This window comes from Homo sapiens, chromosome 2 (assembly GCF_000001405.40).
Source record: "Homo sapiens chromosome 2, GRCh38.p14 Primary Assembly".
Lineage (NCBI taxonomy): Eukaryota > Metazoa > Chordata > Mammalia > Primates > Hominidae > Homo > Homo sapiens.
This window is the reverse complement of record NC_000002.12, coordinates 171,721,070-171,742,180: the sequence shown is the minus strand read 5'-3', so window position 1 is coordinate 171,742,180 and position 21,111 is coordinate 171,721,070. Positions and strand designations below refer to the sequence as shown.

The following is a 21,111-nucleotide window of genomic DNA, read 5'->3' as shown; positions in this document are numbered from 1 at the left end:
AAAAATAAAAAAAATAAAGTTGGATCCCTCCTTCCTTACATCATATAGAAAAATTAAATGTATCACAGATCTAAATGGAAAGTAAAACTATGAAACTTTTTTTTTTTTTTTTTCTGAGACCGCGTCTCGCTCTGTCGCCCAGGTTGGAGTGCAGTGGCATGATCTCAGCTCACTGGGTTCATGCGATTCTCCTGCCTCAGCCTCCCAAGTAGCTGGGATTACAGGCGTGCACCACCATGCTCAGCTAATTTTTGTATTTTTAGTAGAGAAGGGGTTTCACCATGTTGGCCAGGCTGATCTTGAACTCCTGACCTCAGGTGATCCACCCACCTCGGCCTCCCAAAGTGCTAGGATTACAAGCGTGAGCCACCGTGCCTGGCCAAAACTATGAAACTCTTAAAGGAAGCATACAAGTAAATCTTTGTGACCTTGAACTCAGCAATGATTTCTCAGTTGAGAAGCCAAAAGCACAATGATAAAAGAAAAAGTAGGTAAACTGAGCTACATCAAAATTAAATACTTTTGGGCTTCAAATGATATCAAGAAAGTGAAAAGAGAACCTACACAATGGGAGAAAATATTTGCAAACCATGTATCTGATACATCACTGTGTCCACAGTGCTTACAATAGCCTATAAGTACATGAAAAGATGTTCAACATCATTAGTCGTGAGAGGAATGCAAATCAAAACCACAATGAGGTATCACTTCATACCACTAGGATAGCTAGTATAAAAAAGTAACAAATGTTGGTGAAGATACAGGAAATCAGAACCTTCATACCTTGCTGGGGAATGTAAAATGGTGCTGCCACTTGAAAAACAGTTTGGCAGCTCCTCAAAATGCTAATTAGTTACCATGTGACCCAACAATCCCACTCCTAGGTATATACCCGAGAGAAATAAAAACTTGCACATTCACAGCAGCATGATTCATAATAGCCAAAAAGCAGAAGCAACTGAAGTGTTCATCTGATGAATGTATAAACAAAAAGTGGTATATCTATACAATGGGGTATCATTCAGCTATAAAAGGAACAATACATTGATACAAGAAGTATCAATATGAAGGATGACCCTTGAAAACATTATGCAAAGTGAGAGAAGCCAGTACACAATTGCAAGATTCCATGAAATGTCCATGAACTGTCCATAACAGGCAGACCCAAAGAGATAGAAAGTAGATTGATTAGTGGTTTCCAGGAGCTGTGGGGGTAGGGGAGAATGTGGAGTGACTGCTAATGGGCATAATTTTTCTTTCTAAAATTTGAAAATGTTCTAAAATTAGATACTGGCAATTAGGCGTGCCTCTGTGAATATACTAAGAACCACTGAATTGTATACTTTAAAAGGGTGAATTTCATGGTATAAGGGTTTTGCTCAATAAAACTGTTACTTAAAAAGAAACTTATTTTAAAAGAAGAGATAAGGTGATCTAAAAAAAAAAGTGATAAAGAAGATCAGCAAAAGTACATCTACAATGGCAGGTCCTGAAGAAGAAAACCAAAGCAGTAATACAGAACAAATACCAAAAACAACTCAAAAGAACTCTCCTAAAATGAAAGACAGCTTGAAACTACATATTGAAAGGATATCCTGTGTATCTAGGAACACTGACCCTCTAAAGAAAAGGGAAAAAATCATTTGATCACCCACATTTTTTAAAAAGACCAAATCGCAAGTAGGAAAAAGAAAATCAGATTGTGATCAGATTTTGTGACAGCAATGCTTTTTTCCAGAAGTCCACAGAGTAACTAAGGTATGCAAAGAAAGAAAACGTAAGTCATGGATTTTATAAACAATCAAACTAATCTTCATAATCATGTACTTTTGTGGAATATGGGAATAATGCACCTGTGGGCACCTTCTGCATCACGTACTATAGAATGAGCTTCAGATGACCAAAAAGACTGAAGAGACGTTAACGTAAGGTCTGGTGGATAACCAAATCATTTATGAGGGTAAACGTCTCATTACAGAAACATAAACTATCTGCAACCACACACATTAATATGAATGACACCACAGGAATGCAAAATCGAGACTGAGAAACCCTACAGGACCAACTTGACAGACACCAACCTGGTTTCTTCCTCAAGAATAAAACAGCAAGAAAAAAAAGAGGGATGCAAGCCCTACTTTAAAGAGGAACTTAAAAGGTATGTCAATTGTGGCTGGGCTTGGTGGCTCAAAATCCCAGGACTTTGGAAAGCCGAGGAGGGCTGAGGCAGGCGGATCACTTGAGGCCAGGAGTTTGAGACCAGCCTGGCCAACATGGTGAAACCCTGTCTCTACAAAAAATATAAAAATTAGCCAGGCATGGTGGCGGGCGCCTGTGATCCCAGCTACTCAGGAGGCTGAGGCATAAGAATCACTTGAACCCAGGAGACAGAGGTTGCAGTGAGCCAAGATCGTGCCACTGCACTCCAGCCTGGGCAACAGAGTGAGATTCGGTCTCAAAAAAAAAAAAAAAAAAAAAAAAAAAGAGATATGTCAATCGCAAATGGATGGCCCTCCTTTGGATCCTGCTTCAAATAAATAGTAAAAAGAAAAAAAAAATTGAACACTGATAGGCCATTTGACGAAAATAAGGAGCCAATGTTCATTTTGGGGCATTTAATAATGATATGGTAGTATTTTTTAAAGAGGTTTTATTTTTTAGAAATACATAATGAATATTTATAGTTGAAATGGTATGTATAGGCTTGATTTTAATATTGCAGAGGTTATGTATAGACAAGATTGGTCATGTGTTAACTATGGAAGCTGGGAACAATAATGGCTTCATTATATTATTCCCTCTGCTTTTGTATCTGAGATTTTCCATAATAAAATGTTTTAAAATTGTGAATTAAAAATTTTCAGATATGATAGTAAATGTCAACAGCATGATCATTTTAATAGCCAAAATGTTTGTTTTTAATTTAAAAACCAAAATTTTAATAAAACTTAAAACTAAGGTAAACACAAAAATTAAAAGCCTTTTTCTTTTACAATCACTATCTGTCACTCTCCCTGATAACACCACCAAATGAAGTCTCACTCTGAGAAGGTGGTTTTCTTTTTTTTTTTTTTTTCACTCTTGTTGCCCAGGCTAGAGTGCAATGGTGTGATCTTGGCTCACTGCAACCTCTGCCTCCCGAGGAGCTGGGATTACAGGCATGCACCACCACACATGGCTAATTTTGTATTTTTAGTAGAGATGGGGTTTCACCATGTTGGCCAGGCTGGCCTCGAACTCCTGACCTCCGGTGATCCACCTGCCTTGGCCTCCCAAAGTGCTGGGATTACAGGCGTGAGCCACCATGCCTGGCCGAGAAGGTGGTTTTCAACCTAGGATGTGCACAATCATCTGCAGAGCTTTTGAAAAATACAAATGCAGGGCTCAACTCCAGATGCACTTCATCGGTATCTCTGCTGTTGCTCCACTAGTGATTCTGATGCACACCAATGATTAAGAACCACTGTGCTAAGGCCTCTGACTCCTGAGGTGATAGTGTACTTCTTCAAAAACAGCTTATTTTTAGGCAATGTTATGTCTTCCATCAAAGACCAAGTAATTCCACTCTAGGTATATACCCAAAAGAAATGAGTGCTTATGGCCATCAAAAGACATCTACAATTATGCTCACAACACTATTTGTAATGGCCCTCAACTGGAATTAATGCAAATACCATCAGCAGTAGAATGGATAAATTATGGTATATTTACATAATGGAATAGTATACAGCAGAGAGAATGAATAATCTACAACTACACTAACAAATATGAATCAATCTCACAAACATAATGTTGAGCAAAAGAAGCCAGACACAAATGAGTATCTTTTTTTCTTTTTTTTTTCTTTTGAGCTGGAGTTTCGTTCTTGTCTCCCAGGCTGGAGTGCAATGGTGCGATCTCAGCTCACTGCAACCTCCACCTCTCGGGTTCTGGCAATTCTCCTGCCTCAGCCTCCCGAGTAGCTGGGATTACAGGTGTGTGCCACCATGCCCAGCTAATTTTTGTATTTTTAGTAGAGATGGGGTTTCACCACGTTGGCCAAGCTGGTCTCGAACTCCTGACCTCAGATGATCTGCCTGCCTCGGCCTCCCAAAGTGCTGGAATTACAGTCGTTAGCTACTGCGCCTGGCTGAGTATTTTCTACTCTATGATTCCATTTTTATATGATACAAAATATGAAAAAAGCTACATGCAAACTAGATTAAAACTTACTTGTATTTATAATATAAAAGATTGCTAAATGTATCAGGAAATGGTTACTAGGCTGAGCACCTGGGTGATGGAATAATCTGTACAACAAACCCCCGTGACATGATTTTACCTATATAACAAACCTGCAAACGTACCCCTGAACCTAAAAGTTAAAAAAAAAAAATCATCTACTCAGTGGACGAATATGCAGCCAGAGACAAAAACAGGATGCACTGTAACTGGGTAAAAGATTACAATAAAAAGAAAAACAAGGCTGGGTGTGGTGGCTCACACTATAACCCAACCACTTTGGGAGCCCGAGGCAGGCAGATCACTTGAGGCCAGGAGTTTGAGACCAGCCTGGCCAAGCATGGTGAAACCCTGTCTCTACTAAAAATGCAAAAATTAATTGGGCATGGTGGCACATGCCTATAATCCCAGCTGTTTGGGAGGCTGGGGCATGATAATCGCTTGAACCTGGGAGGTGGAGGTTGCAATGAACCGAGATCACCCCACTGCGCTCCAGCCTGGGCAACAGAGTATGGTCACGAGTCAAGCCATATTTTTCCTAAGCTCTTTAAGGTTGTACGCTGAGTTGAATAGTGTCTTCCCAAAATTCGTGTCTACCTGGTATCTGTAAATGTGACCTTATTTGGAAACAGGGCCTTTGCAGATGTAATCAAGTTAAGATGAGGTCATATTGAATTAGGGTAGGTCCTAAATCTAGCATGATTGGTATCCTTAAAAAAAGAGAAAAATTCGGACACAAACAGGTAGAATGCCATCTGATGACAGAGGCAGAGGCTGGAATGATGGTAGCTGCAAGTCAATGAAACAGCAAGGATTGCTGGCAACCATCAGAAGCCGGGAGAGAGACAAGAAACAGATTCTCCTTCAGAACCTCCAAAAGTAACTAGCCTGTCAACACCTTGATTTTGGACTTCTGGCCTCCAGAAATGTGAAAGAATAAATTTCTGTCATTTTAAGCCACCCAGTTTGTGGTAATTTGTTATGGCAGCTTTGGGAAAAGAATATAGATTATTTTTCAAAGCTGGGGTAAGCGGGGAGTTCTAGATTAATAACAAAGATAGTCCCTACATTAAACACGTGAAGATAATAGTGAGATGCTTCCTAGAGAACTGGGAAATAAATATGTCATCAATTTGGATCAGAAGAGAAATAAATGAATTCTCTTCCAAAGAAATGGATTCCAAGGTCAGAAATATCTTTCTATATAACTTGACTGAATATATTAACTTTTTGAGACCAAATGTGTCTATTAAAATAGAAATACAAAGAAACAGTCTTACAAGGAAAATGAAGACAGTACCCATTCAAGCATCGTCCAGGAGAAAGGGAGTCTCAACCAATGGATTTTGAGAATTACTACCCCATGGCAAGGCTAGAATGAATCAGGCTATCTTAGCTTGGTGCCATTAAACATTCAAATTATAAAACTTCTTTTGTTCCAACTCCTTACTCACCAAGCAATCTTCTGATTATAATTTGGCTTCCCATGTGGATTGTCTACAGGGAAACAATGAGCTGGTCAGGCTCACAGGAGTATCTGGGCCTTCTGGCAGTTATGTTTTTCATTGTAAATTAATAAATTGACATTCTCCAATGTACCAGTGTCTTAGGAGCCTGTTAGTTCCGGTTAGCACTCCCTGTCTAATCAACTCTAGTATACTGATTAAACTGAGTTTCTGAATATGCAAAGGAGAGGCTGGACATTGGCCAGTAGCAAGTTACTGAGGCAAATGCTGCTGCGCAGGCCTCGGTCCAGATGAATAGGCAGCCTTCCCTAAGAACACCCAACTTCAAAGCATTTTTTCATCTTAACTTGTCTAAATATGCATAGTTGTTATTCTAAGGACTAGTATGAACTTTTAACCCTGTTTTAATGCTGGTGCCCTCTGAGAGTTAACTAAGTAAGCTATTAATATAAGGAGGGGTTCTAAGACTTATCAGAAAGTGTGAATAATTTCAAGATGTGTATGGACTACAAAAGTGTGAAAACTCCCCCTTCCAAGAAATTACCACATTAACAATCTTAACTTCGTCATTTTATGGTAAATATGGTTCTGATAAGAATTTGTGCACACATCTCAAAATCCATCTTGTCCCAAGTAAATAATTCTTATGTTTTAACAGTAATCTGTAACAAGTATGGTTAAATGTGGTAGAACATTTAGTGAATCTACCAGGTCTACCCATAATCAAACTCTTCTAGAATCCTTGTTACCCTGCAGAAGCTTTCACTCCTTATTCTCCCAGCCATTTTTCAGACCTGCCAAAGTGCTTCGGTTGTGAATTTAAAATTTGGTATTTTGAGATGGCAACAGAGTCTTTTAAATATATTAGAAGCCCTGTCTTTACTGGTTTAAACTTCCATACACGGAAAATAATCTGTTTGTCTTCTATACAGGTTGAATATCCCTTATCAGAAATGCTTGGAACCAGAAGTGTTTCAGATTTCAAATATTTTTGGATTTTTGAATACCTGCATTATACTTATGGTTGAGCGTTCCTAATATGAAATGTGAAATGCTTCAATGAACATTTCCTTTGAGTGTCACATTAGTGGTCAAAAAGTTTTGAATTCTGGAGCATTTCAGACTTTGAATTTTCAGATTAGGGTGCTCAGCCTGTCTTAAAAATAGTTGAGTTCAATAAAGTAATGAAAACAAGTCAATGAACCAGAACTATGTGACTGAATTATAAATCTCTGGCTAGGCGAAGATTAGTGGCTAGCTGTAGAAGTAGATTGCTTTAAACTAAATTTGAGGCTGTGCCAAATTGAGATTCCCAGGGATTTTTATCATAGAAAGAGAGAAAAGGAAGAAATCTTGTTTTGCTATCAGGGCAGAGCCAGATCTTAAGGACACAAAAGTACAGCAATATCTCACGATTCAGTCTTCCAATTTATGAGGACTCAATTCCTGGAGTCAAAGAGCACTTAAAAAGTAGAGGAAGAGAAGCAAAACATTTAAAGTCTGTTAAATTCATGAGTGTGAAGACTCTGGTTTAAAAGTTTAAAATGAAATTGGAACAAGGTGTTTAAAGAGAGATTATTTAAAAACACTGCCTATTATTCTTTACCATTCATTATTAATTAACATTGCCCATCAGTCATTATTACAGCATAGAGGCTCTATCAGTTTTTCAGCAGGGCAGAAATAAATACCAGCAACACAATTAACCAGGAAGTGTAAATTGACACTGGAGCCACAGTATGGCCAAATATAAAAGTATTCACTTAACAGACTGTTTCTTCTCTACCCTTCACAGAGTAGAACTACTTGTGTGCAGAAAAGTTAGAATGAAGGGTAATTCTTCTGATAAAGTTTCAGAGGGTCCTTAGGCATTTATAAAAACACCATGTTCTATGGTGGCCCATCCTTTGTACAGTAACACTGGAGGGATGTTGGGGGCAGGGTGAGAGGCATGTATCCCAATTGAATGAATAAATGAGTCTTCTATATAAGGCCCAAGGAAGGAAGCAATGCCTAGCCTAATTGGCAAAGAAAGAGATATGCCCACTTGTCATTCTTATTCAGAAGGCACTTCTATGTTGAAACACATTAAAATACAAGAATAAAAATATCAACCGCCCCTCAACTAGCTGTGTAGTACCACAAAAGCAAGTATCAATCAGTCTGCTATCACAAGATAAGTTCTGTCCTTGATTAGTCAAGATGAACTCTTTATTTTCAAATCCTATTATTAACGTATATAAGGATGGAAGCCTCAAATTTAAAGCCAAAGGATGCTGGCAAACTGACACCCTGAGAGAGTAAAAAACAAACTAGAAATAGATAAAAGATTCTTTCACACACAGACTGGGAACAGAATAGGGAACCCAGAAATAAGACCGCACACCTACAATCATCATCTTTGACAAACCTGACAAAAAAACAAGCAATGGGGAATAGATTCCCTGTTTAACAATGGTGCTGGGAGAACTGGCTAGCCATATGTAGAAAACTGAAACTAGACCCCTTCCTTACATCTTATACAAAAATTAACTCAAGATGGATTAAAGACTTAAATGTAAAACCCCAAACTACAAAAAACTTAGAAGAAAACCTAGACAATACCATTCAGTACATAGCCATGGGCAAAAATTTCATGATGAAGAGGCCCAAAGCAATTGCAACAAAAGCAAAATTTGACGAATGGGATCCAATTAAAGAGCTTCTACACAGCAAAAAACAAAAACAAAAAAACCCCTAAAAAACAAAAAAAACTATTGAGTAAACAGACAACTTACAGAAAGGGAGAAAAATTCTACAATCTATGAATCTGACGAAGATCTAATATCCGGCATCTATAAGGAACTTAAATTTACAAGAAAACAACCCCATTAGAAAGAGGGCAAAGGACATGAACAAACATTTCTCAAAAGAAGACATATATCACTGATCATTAGAGAAATGCAAATCAAAACCACAATGAGATACCATCTCACACCAGTCAGAATGACTATTATTAAAAAGCAAAAAAAAAAAAAAAAAAAAAAAAAAAAAAGATGCTGGCAAGGTTGTGGAGAAAAAGGAACGTTTTTACACTGTTGGTGGGAGTATCAACCATTATGGAAGACAGTGTGGTGATTCCTCAAAGACCCAGAGACAGACATACCTTTTGACCAGGCAATCCCATTACTGGGTATATACCCAAAGGAGTATCAATCACTCTATTATAAAGACACTAGCAAAGACATGGAATCAGCCTAAATGCCAATTAATGGTAGATGGGATAAAGAAAATGTGGTACATATACACCACAGAATACTACGAAGCCATAAGAAGGAATGAGATCATGTCCTATGTGGGGACACTGATGAAGCTGGAGGCCATTATCCTTAGCAAACCAATGCAGGAACAGAAAACCAAATACCACATGTTCTCACTTATAAATGGGAGCTAAACAATGAACATACATGTAGACACATAGAGGAGAACAACTCATACTGGGGCCTATCGAAGGGTGAGCGTGGGAGGAGGGAGAGGCTCAGGAAAAATAACTAATGGATAGTAGGCTTAATACCTGGGTGATACAATAATCTGCATAACAAACCCACACATCCTTTACCTGTACCTTCGAATGTAAAATAAAAGTTTTAAAAAAAAGATTACTTTCAATTACCGAAAAGGAAGTTGGCCAACAATCTAACAAAAATGTGTCTCCTGTGACTATACATGGGATTACTAAGATGAAAGCACATCTAAAAATCTAGCAACTTACATGGCTGTATGAAGCCTTTGGAGAAATAGTTGGCTTCATCTCACCAATTCTGCATCTTGCTTTGGTTTTATAGGTTTATCTGAAATACTTGGAACCAGAAGCATTTGAGATTTTGGACTTTTTCAGATTTTAGAATACAGTAAGTCCTCACTTAACATCATTTATAGGTTCTTGGAAACTGTGACGTTAAGCAAAACAACATAAAACAAAACCAGTTTTACCACAGGCTAATTGATACAAACAAGAGTTAAATCCCTGTGGCATTTATCTGGTGATAAAAACATCATCAAATTTCTAAATAATGACCCTAAACACTTCAAATATTAAGCACTGAAATAAAATGTGAGCTATACATACAATTTAGAAAGATTATCATTACTTTTTCAGGTGGAGTTTTGCTCGTCACCCAGGCTGTAGTGCAATGGCACAATCTCGGCTTGCTGCAACCTCCTGCTGGGTTCAAGTGATTCTCCTGCCTCAGCCTCCCGAGTAGCTAGGAATACAGGTGCCCGCTACCATGCCCAGCTCATTTTTGTATTTTCAGTGAGACGGGGTTTCACCATGTTGGCTGGGCTGGTCTCAAACTCCTGACCTCAGGTGATCCACCCGCCTTGGACTCCCAAAGCGCTGAGATTACAGGCGTAAGCCACCCTGCCCGGTCACATTTGAGAAAGAATCATAAAAACAAGATAATTATTAACCCAATTTTTGGTGAAGAGGTGGTGGGTTAAATCAAGGAATAAATGTTTTGCAAAGTGAAAATTGTAAGGAGCACACCCTATCACCAGGCAGTTCTAAAACAATGACAAAGACGGAAGGCTCACTGAGCGGTTTCATACTGCATCCTTTAACTGTCTTGCCTTTGTATGATTACTATGTATCTTACAAATTTTTATTTTACGACAATTTGTATTCATTCATTCATTTTCCAACTTGCTTTTCCCAGTTCAAGGTCACAGCTGGTCAGAGCACAAGACAAGAACCCACCATGGACAGGATGCTATTCTATCGCAGGGCACACTCAGACACACCCACACTCATTCAGACTGGGACAATTTAGACATGCCAGTTGAGCAATCCTCCCACCTCAGCCTCCCAAGTAGCTAGGACCACAGGTGCGCACCACCATGCATGGCTAATTTTTAAATTTTTTGTAAACATGGGGTCTCCTTGTGTTACCCAAACTGGTCTTGAACTCCTGGGCTCAAGTAATCCTTCTGCCTCGGCCTCCTAAAGCACTGGGATTACAGGAGTGAGCCACTGAGCCCGGCCAATGTTTTTTCTTGTCAATTTTATGACAAAACACACTATTTGATGACCTGCTGTATTTGTGTTATACTTATGGTTATACATCTCTAATCCAAAAATCCATGCTCCAATGAATGTTTCCTTTGAGTGTCATGCCTGCGCTCAAAGAGTTTTGAATTCTGGAGCATTACAGATTAGGGATGCTCAGCCTGTGCTAGCTAGATTACGCATTTCTTTGCTTGTGAGCTTTGAGAATCTTCTTCTACCTTTTCCCACTGTATAAATTTCACTAGAAGAATAAAAATTCAAGAACAATCCAAGAAAGGAAAGAGATGACTTATTAAATGTATTCAGGCTCTGTCCGATCCCCATTAAGAGGTAAAAGAGAAACTAAACATTGGTAAGTGCCTATTATTTGCTGGACACTGTGTTAAGCATCTGTTTCCTTTATTAGAGTTCAGGTAAACACTATTTTTATATCTGCTAATGACAAACCTGAAAATGCTCAATTTTAAAAGGCAAGCTTTTAGAGGCAAAGTTTTCTAACCTGTTTCATTATCAGACAGAAAGGAGGCATCAAGAAAGGACAAGAATGAATAATGAGTTCATCCCAGACTTCTAAGGCCAACACTTGATAAATAACTAGGAGTTCACTAAAATAGTGAAGAACATCTCTTACATTAGGTTTTCTTACAGAAACTGAAGAACCAAAGATCTCTAAACTTTGTCTCATGATGAATTATTTAAAAAGTCAATATTTAGGATAAGGCAGATAGAAACAGAAAAAAAAACACCTTAGAATTTAATTTAAATAGAATCAGATGCTGGGTATGCATTTTCTCAGCAATAATGTTAATACCGCAGAAAAACTAGACAGCAAAGTTAAGGCACTTTAATTATAAAATGAGATTAAATGAAATTACAAGTCTATCACAGGAGGTAATGTTGCCTACTTGGATTTGTCTTGAGACTTTCAACAGGTCAAGACAATGTCACATTTATCTGGAATTGCTGGAGGATCAAGAATCATTTTATCACATGAATGGGTTTTTAAAATACTGAAGTTTATTAAAACCAAAATAAATGATTTAAACTGCTTATCATAGAATAACAAAAAATATATGCATCCATGCTTTTACACAATGCTTTCCTAAGGATTCCAGTTTACTACATATAGCCATATTATACAGGACTTATTGTAAATCAGTTTCTCTCTCTCTTTTCCCTATTTCCCATCAACTCTGTGAGCCACTGTAGTTATGAATAACCTGTTAAAAACTCTCCAAAGAGCAAATGCATAGCTTTTGTGCTGAGCTGAATGACAACTGTATGAGGTGCTATGCGAGATACTCAGGGCTTTTTTCCCAGTGCAGTTCAGGGTAAACAGTTACATGCTCGAAAAGACTGAAGTGGTGGGAAGACTGGTCCTTGATTCTGCGTAGGGTTACCATACTTGTTAGCATATTTTTATAAAAATTACAACATCTAGTAGTTCACTCATGCTCTGTGTAACTTCCTAGCAGGCTTCATCTATTAGCAAACAATTATGATTTAAAAGGTTTTCATCATTCCTATGTAGTATTAGATCACCACCTTGTGTCAGAAACCTGAGCAAATAGCAGACATCTATATTTTAGATACCTTAGTTGTCCAAAGCTTTACTGTCCAGTCAAACGATGAAGTGACAAAAAGATGTGAGAAGTCTACTGCTCCAACAGCTGCATGACAATGGATGCCAGTGATTGGTCCTTGATGCCCCTCAAACATCTCACTGATTCCAGCTTTGCTAATTTCATAAAAGTGAAAATGTTAGAGAAGTCTCCTATAAGTAGACCAATTACATACACATTTTATTATAGGTTTATATATCAGGCCTTGACTTCATTTTGACAGACTTAACTCTGTGCTCATAACTTATCAGAATTAACTTTGTTGAGTGTTATTCCATCCACATTTGGTAACTCTACTAAAGCAATAAGTACCTTTGGAACTGTAAACATCATGCTGTTGACAACAGACCTCAAAAGTCCAATATCTGAAGTGGTGTAATAGAAACAAAGATACCCTACATTTAAGAGAGACAATCTGGGCTACTTTTAAAACAAAAGCTTTGAAGTGAAGGTGATCTATATTTGAGATGAAATCTGGACACTCAATTTTTTTTTAAGGAAGCAATAAGGTACAGCTAGACAATTTCAAAACAGACAGAACGGAAGGAGAAATATTACTCAGTTTAAAATATGTATGTGACATTACTGTACAATTATCAGGAGAATGAACTAATGCTTAAAGTCCAAATAAATCAAAAGGGGAAACAGCTGAAAATCTCATTTATAAGTCTATAGGTCAATATTGGCATGTGCATATTGTATTTGTAACTACTGAATGTTCCTGCCTATCACTAACTTACGTGAGTACATGCACACACACAAAACCACAACCCACAAAATCTAAACACATCATGAATCCAAAATTATCTTTTATACAAAAAGGTATTAAGTTTTAATTTTATGTGCCTGAACACAAAAAATCTGTCACAAATAACAAGTAGATCTACGACAGATTTCTACTTAAATAAGACAATTTGTTTCAATGGGATTAAAGGAGGAATTTTAAATTATTGCAAATTCCAGTTTAGGTTTACCTGCCATGGCGGCATGCTGTGTACACAGAACCTTCTTCACTCCCAACAACAAAGTTGTTGACATCTCCAACAGGGAAGGACATAGATGTCACAGCTACTGCTTTTGACTGTTTATGAACCAACTCCATGCTATCCTACATAGAAAAACCTGAGAAAATTAGTTTGTAAACTTGCAATTTTAAATTTCTGTAGAAAAACTTCTAGTCTTTGATTGTAAACAATTCTTTTATTATTTACATAAATCTAAATTAAATGAAGCAGGTTTCAAAGTAAAATATATATATATGAAACAAACTTATATTAAACACGTTTCAGCTTATAAGCTGTTGTAACACTACTATAAAACAGTTTATGAGAAACATAAGTTGAGGTACACATACACTTAAAACATAACATTTGCCTCAAAATTTCAGTTTCCCAAGTTTAACCCACCTGTGGATGGGAAAGCATGTCCAGACTCCATGAACAAATTTTTCCATCAGTAGAGATGCTAATCAGATTGTGAGCATTTTGTGTTCCAACAACATTTACACAATATACAGGGTGCTAGAGATATTAAAAAAAGTTTTCAGGGATTATTGTACCAAAAAGCAAAACAAAATTTTTAGTCTAATTATAAGCATTCTGTTTATTATCGAGTCTCATAACTTGTGGGTATTCTTAATGTGAAGTTTGCTATTAACAAAATGTTGTCGCAGAAGAGAGATGAGTTTCTAATAAATCTCCAAAAAAAAAAATAGCCTTCATTCTTGGTTGCTAAATGGTGAGGAATTCATACACCAAAGGAAGCACATTCTGAGATGACTCTGATGGCCACTACTAAGTATTATAGCTAAGGATGAAGGAGCACAGAAGCCTAATGGAAATAACCTTATTTACTTACTGTGTGTGCAGCTGCTGACAGTGGAGTTCTTTGCACTGGAGTTCTTTTATTGCTACGGTTATCCCAAAGCACAATTTGGCCTGAATATGTACCACCAACAACAAGATTTGGATGAAATTTTGCAAATGTGGCAGACATCACAGCTGACTGCAAATAAGTAAGATTTTTATACTTGAGATTCAAATGGAAAATGCCTGACAAGTTCTAAAAATCAATCTATTATCCGAAACATTTCTTTCTTCATTGTATGGTATTAGAGGTTATAAAAACAACTAAGTAAATTAATTAAAAGTTTTCACTGTTTCAGAAATATAAAAATATATCTTTAAGATATTTTTTGCTTAAAAGTCCAATGCAATGGCTGTTTACTATTAAGTAGGTTTAACTAATTTATCAAAGAAAGCAAAAAGTTATTTCAGTTAACTACAGTATTAAAAAGATAACTAGCCCTGCATTAGACTCTGACAGTAATCTAACAGTAGAGTACACGCTAGTTTAATTCAAGTTAAGTGTTTACTCAAGATTAAGACACTATTAAAAGATTTTAAATTATGCAATCAGAAAAGGCTTGCAAATTCTAACCTTCTACTAAATCTGCTTTAAAAATCTGCATCTGTTTTCTACTTCAACCATATGTTTCTACTTAAAACCATCTAGTTCCAATTCCTCAGGCCATGTATAAGTAATTCAGTGGGCCAACCATCTAATTGTATATTCACAAATAAGTTCCTGGGAAACTCCCTGTAGGAAAGACATTTTATAAAAGATTCCTTTTATACAGTCAATCACCATAACAGAAAATCACAACTGCAAAGGACTTTAGGTGTGATTAAACATTATAAGAGATGTCAGAAAAGCTACAAAAGGCAGATCATGTTGAACTGAGAAGTCTTCAGTTTTCTGTTAACATCTGTTTGCAAATATGGAGTGGTTTAGTAAAATGCCAATCCAATGAAATCATTATGTTGACAAGAAAAGAAAAAAGGCACTTGTCTTAATTCATCAATGAATTCTTAAACTTGAGGCGAAGACTGTTAAAAGACCACCATACCTGGCAGTGAAACACATACTCTGGGGTAGTTTTTTTGTATTTCATATTCCATACAAGGGCCACACCATCAGGCTCATGAGGGGCATCTTCATTGTTGTTATAGGAAGCCACGAGTAACTCCGGATACTGCTCAGAAGAATCAAGAAGAAAAGAAATGCTATGCATAATAAGAACTGTTTTATAATCCTAGTTATTTGTCTTTATCAGATTATTATTCTGCAAATACAAATACCTAACATTTCATCAAGAGAGACATCTCTAGCATTATGCCTACTGGGACATTAGTACAATTTTAAATTAGAACAGTTAATTATTTTAAATGTTTTAATGTTAAAACATTTAATTAAAATATGTGTCCAAATTTTACACAAAGGATTTGGTGAGCAACTGAAATTAGTAAAACTGGCCTGTATCATAAAGTCCTGAATTTTAAATATAAATAATGCTTCTAATCTTTCTTCCAAAGTACATAAGATGAGTATGTTAACATTAGAACCATCATCCATTAATTTTAAATAACACATATTGATTTATTATACAAAATTCCCATAATTAAAATAAAATGACCTGCTAATTATAATTTTAAAAATGAGTTAAGAGCGGCCTATTTTGTTATATTTTACCTGAGATGACCAATCCAAACAACTAACCACCCGATGCTTTGACCAACGTTCGTCAAAAAATTGTCGATTTAATGACAGTTTAGCACCTGCTTGAATCTCTCTACAAAAAAAGACCAAACCCCCCAAAAAGATGGTGTTATAACTTTTATCACTCTTAATCTTAAAGTAATTTAACATTATTGAAGCTAAAAATCTTAGCAACTAAACATTACCCTTCTTTGTCTTCCAAATCTCTCCCACTATAGTCAAAGAAGATGTTAATCTGCTCAGAAAGAGCTCTTTCTACAATTCTTGTAGAATGGTCAAAGAAACTTAAAAATTCCTCAGAGTGCAAGATTTGTTGCTTTTCTTCTTCAGTCAGCTCATGAGGGGGAGCTGGAAAATAAATAATTTTTTGAAGTATGATTTATGTCAGGCAAATCACGTCAACTCACTATCACAGTATGGATCAATGTATGTTATTATTTTTCAATCAGATTCACTTATTTGATTTACAGCATTTCATCCTACTTTAATACATAATAAAAGGAATCTTAACAGAAATCAACAAAATGTTTTAAAGTTTAATTCCTTAAGATACCTTTACTATCATTTTCCTCATCTTTCTTTAAAGTTTTCTCTTCTTCAGGTTCAATAGGTGGTTTAGGAGCCACTACATCATCATCTTCCTCTTCATCTGAAAAAAAAAAAAAAAACAAACAAAAAAACAAAAAAACAGAATGATATAATAAATTATTTTAATGAAAATAGCTGGTAACTTTTGAGACAGTATTTCAGAAGGTATCACAACTCCCAAGATATAAGCAAAAGTAAACCACTGACCGGACAGAACAAGTACAAATAATAGGGATTTTTATCAACATAATCAAATAGTTAAGTGGAACCTCTTGGTTTTTATACATACCTATGTGGTACCTCAGCAACAGCCACCCTAAATTCTGTAGCTACATAAACTGAAATAAGATATATAAGCAACTAGGATGAATTCCTCATTAAGTCTCTAAAAGCTTGCAAGCATTTATCATTCTAGACAGAACAACATGCAACTCCTGCATAGTTTTATATAGCATGCTGACACATTAATGCTGTAGAATGAGGAAAATCAAATGTCTAAAATAGCCTACAGAGCTGGCTGCTTACTTGTGATCTGAAACCATCAGTGTCTAATGGGCCTTCATAAGGCATAAAGATGGCTTACATTAACTCTCAGGTTGCTATTTGAGAGGCAGATTTTGAAGATAATAGCTATAAGACCACATTTTCTATTCTGTCATTTTAAATGCAAGTCTCATTATCTATTGTTACATGATGTGGCAATAAGCACTTAAAATAATGTTTTCTTAATTTGAATAAAAGTATACATTGGGATAATATACAATGTTTACAAGACTTCTAAAAAATTACTAAATCTCTTACATCCCAAACCAGGAAGTAATTTAAAATCATTTATTTTAAAATGTTATAGAACACATAACCCTGCCCACCTTTTCTTTTGCTACACACTGAGATGGGTTTTTATGAAGAAAATGTTTATTTTTATTGCCTAAACACATGCGTTATTTGTCTATAAGGGAAAGGCAGCAGGCATCTGCACCAGAGTGCAGTTCAAGTAATGACAACCTATTCAATAAGGGGACTTTACTTGCTGTAGTCATTTCCCTGACTCATGTTCAAAATTATCTAAAACACACATACATACGACGTACACAAAAGAATGGTCAAGAATGGGAACCAGCTGCCAAGTCATGGTCCCAGCAGCCAGGCCAGCTGACTAGACAGCAACAACCAGATGGCACTGCTGGGATTGTGTCTTTCTGCTACAAGGTGGCAATGGGATGGCATAACATTCTTCCGCTTCACTGCTTCCAATCCTGTGTCTCTCCCCAATGGCAGGCCTGTGCAATTACCAGCACTCCAGGAGGCCTAAAGACAAGCCTTTACCCAGCAAACAAAATGCAGCTTGTAGGCCACACCAGCTGCCAAACCACACACATACTGTTAGGTTTAGAGAGCTATGAAAATCTTTCTAACTCTATAGTATAGGCAATAAAAATATAACTGTACCTGTGGAAAGAAAGCTTTAAATGACACTGTATAATGCACACAATGATACAACCTCCAACTTAATCAAAATGATAATGACGTATGCCAATCCTACATTACTTGAAATTGAGCGATTTTTGTGTTCTGACAAGTTTACAGAACTAGGATAAATGGCACGAGTGATTTCAATATATGCTCATACTTTTGAACCAAATGGTGAAGGTTAAAATTTTTCCTTTCAACGGCCTCAATCAGCCACAAAGGAAAACAGTAATCACTGTCTTTTCAGCCAGCCCAACCACATTTGTCAGCCCTTTCTCCGTCAACGCAGCCAGAGCAATCAACCTGCCAAACATTCAGAATGGAAAAACAATCTGAAAATACAGGGTATAATGCACCTGCCAGTGAAAATGGCCATTTCAAGAAAAGCTAGTGATCTCAGTGACCCTGCTGAGGAGGCGGTGGTGCAAAGGGGAAAGAACACGTAAAAGAATTCTTAGTGATCGCCACTCTCTTGCACATTGACACTTCCTTACAAAGCATGCCAATTATAGCTTTTGTGCTACTTAAAAAAATGAAAGCTTTTTGGGGCAAAATAATCACATAGAGAAACAGAAAGACACTACTCCTTTTTAGATGAATTCTCATATACAACGAATTATTAATCTGAAAATAGTATAATTGGTAGCAATTCTATACTATATTACTCAAGCATTAGAATGAAATTCTTCCATAAAGTCACCTGCAGGTGTAATGTAACAAAATAGTTTAATTACATTTAACTTACAAGCTGTCTTTTAGAATAATAGGACATCTATTTCAACTAAAAATTCACTGTAAGAATATACATATATTTTCCACTTTCTGCTAATGCTACCAGTTATCCTAATCAAGTGTTTACTAGTAGGTTTCACTGTATGTAAATCCTAAAATCAAAGATAGGAATTTTGAATCACCCAGGACAGGTCATTCTTGAGCACTATGAATTATAAATTACAGCCTCCTACCCACATCTTATTCTCCTCCTTCAACTTTGTTGTATTATACGGCCTCTAAGTACCATTTCCAATGACAGGTGTCAAATTCCTGTCATAATGCATATGGTCAGTACTTTAGTGCTAAGTGACCTCATAATTTACATATTTAACAGAAAAGATCTTGTTTATAGACACTCTTTTCCTTTTAAAATTTAAAATGTAGATGAAATATGTCAGACAGTGATCTATATCTGTGTACTATACAGCATTTGCCATGCCTATTTGTCCATATAAATTATTTCAGTTGTAGCTGAATCATGAGTATCAACTATTTAAATACATGCTCTCAGGGTTTTATTTTAGAATTAAAGTACATACCCTCCCTTTCTACATGGATTAAAACCAGACTTTAAAACTATCATTGGTACTTAAGCTTCATAAAAATGATTAAATAAATTTCAAGGAACATAAAAACAAATGATAATGCTGTTCTTAAAAACTGTAAAATGCAATCTTTTTGCTATAAGGTTGATCTTAAATAATTATCAAATTTACCAAATATTTGGCAAAAATGCCTAACATCAATAACATCAGATTAAAAAATGTTCTTCTGAAACAAATATGCTTTTCTTGTTATAAGCTAATATGATAGCTACCAAAGGACTATTAACGTGGCCAAAAATATAAAATTACAGTTCTGAAGATTTTCTAAGCTAGTCCTTATTACATGATAAGCTATATTTAAAACTGGAAAAGACTGTAACAGAGCAGGAAGACTGAAAAATGGGGCTGCCATGTCACATCAATTTATTGATGAATATTCATTACAATATGCTAAAGTGGTTAACTCCACGCTTTCTCTGACAAGGAATCTAAGGTTATAAACTGAGCAGTAAAGAGTGCATAAAAGTAGCAGTTACTTTTAAAATGACAAATCTCTTGTCAATGAATGCTAAAACTAGGTTTAATGAACCACTGAATTTTTACTTTGAGTTAACATCAAAATTGTGATGTATTTTGGTGAGACAGAAAGAAAAGCTGTTTTGTAAATTAAGCTGCACCTACAAGTAACACGAAAGAATGAAATTCCAGTTGTTGGAATAATCTCTTACAATGGAGTAAGTTAATCAAAGTTAAATCATCTGTGAAATGGGTGGCTTTTGTTAAACTGAAGGAAGGAGACTTCAGAGCAAGTTTTCTCATCTGTACCTCACAGTACATTTAAGATACATTTTACATTTAAGATACATTTAAGATAAGCTAAGAGTATGCCACAAAGCATACTCTGAATTATTTTAAAATATTACAAGACATTTAAAAGGTAATATACAGTATCTTAGAAAATCCTTACTGAACAAACATTGCTACTTATGAATCTATCACTTTTAATGATTAAATCTCAATATGAAGTGAAAAACAAATCCCATCATTAGTGCACTGTTGTTTAGGAAATATGTTTGTTGTCTATCAATTTACTATGTAGTTTTATTGTACTGGTGCATCCCATTTTAAGATAACTTAATATCCTATGAAAAATCCCTAACTTACAAGGTAGTCTGGTTATTCCTGGTATAAAGGAAGCTGACACTGAGTTCTAAAAGTCAGGACATTTGCTGCATATAAAAATATGATTTGACTTATAAAAATTCAACTTATGAATAACTTCACAAACAGCTATGAAAATATTAGAGGAAAATGCTTTAATCATTAGTTTAAAAATACAGATTACATAGGAATGATTTTCCTTTAATATTTTCAAAAAATCCCTTCTTTTCTGGGTCAGCTTCATTTTGAATCACTCTATTTCAATCCATTTGTCCATCACTTCATCTTCTTATACCTTACTCTTTAAAATCAGATGCATATTAAAGAGAATCTTCATTGGGACAAAGTTTCATGAATCTATCAATGGAATCCATTCCCTTTCTTTTTTTACACCATCTAGAATAAGATGCAAGGTCACTTGGGTTTCTTTGGCTCTTCAACAAGGGAAAAATACACAGCTGACTTTTTAATCATTAATGATTTCAATACAGATGTAATGCTAACTTGGGGGGAAAATAAGAAAAGACTAATAGTTTAATTATACCACTTCCTTTAACACAAAATTTGTCTCTCTGTAGTTCTTTTTTTTTTTTTTTTTTTTTTTTTTAAGAGATGGGGTCTTGCTATGTGCCTAGGCTGGCCTCAAACTCCTGGGCTCT

At 36.0% G+C, this 21,111-nt stretch overlaps 1 protein-coding gene across 12 annotated transcripts in view; it reads right to left on the bottom strand.

The window, feature by feature from the left end:
• The window catches only part of DYNC1I2 (dynein cytoplasmic 1 intermediate chain 2), a 62,690-nt gene that overhangs the window by 7,978 nt on the left and 33,601 nt on the right, over window positions 1–21,111 (bottom strand). For all 12 annotated transcript variants that reach the window (NM_001378.3, NM_001271786.2, NM_001320882.2 and 9 more), the window contains 8 exons: window positions 16,468–16,563; window positions 16,100–16,262; window positions 15,888–15,987; window positions 15,265–15,390; window positions 14,214–14,360; window positions 13,763–13,876; window positions 13,331–13,464; window positions 12,328–12,472 (listed from right to left, as the gene is read on the bottom strand). In NM_001378.3, coding sequence (NP_001369.1) covers window positions 12,328–12,472; window positions 13,331–13,464; window positions 13,763–13,876; window positions 14,214–14,360; window positions 15,265–15,390; window positions 15,888–15,987; window positions 16,100–16,262; window positions 16,468–16,563 — 1,025 coding nt within the window. The remainder of the gene's footprint in view (window positions 1–12,327; window positions 12,473–13,330; window positions 13,465–13,762; window positions 13,877–14,213; window positions 14,361–15,264; window positions 15,391–15,887; window positions 15,988–16,099; window positions 16,263–16,467; window positions 16,564–21,111) is intronic.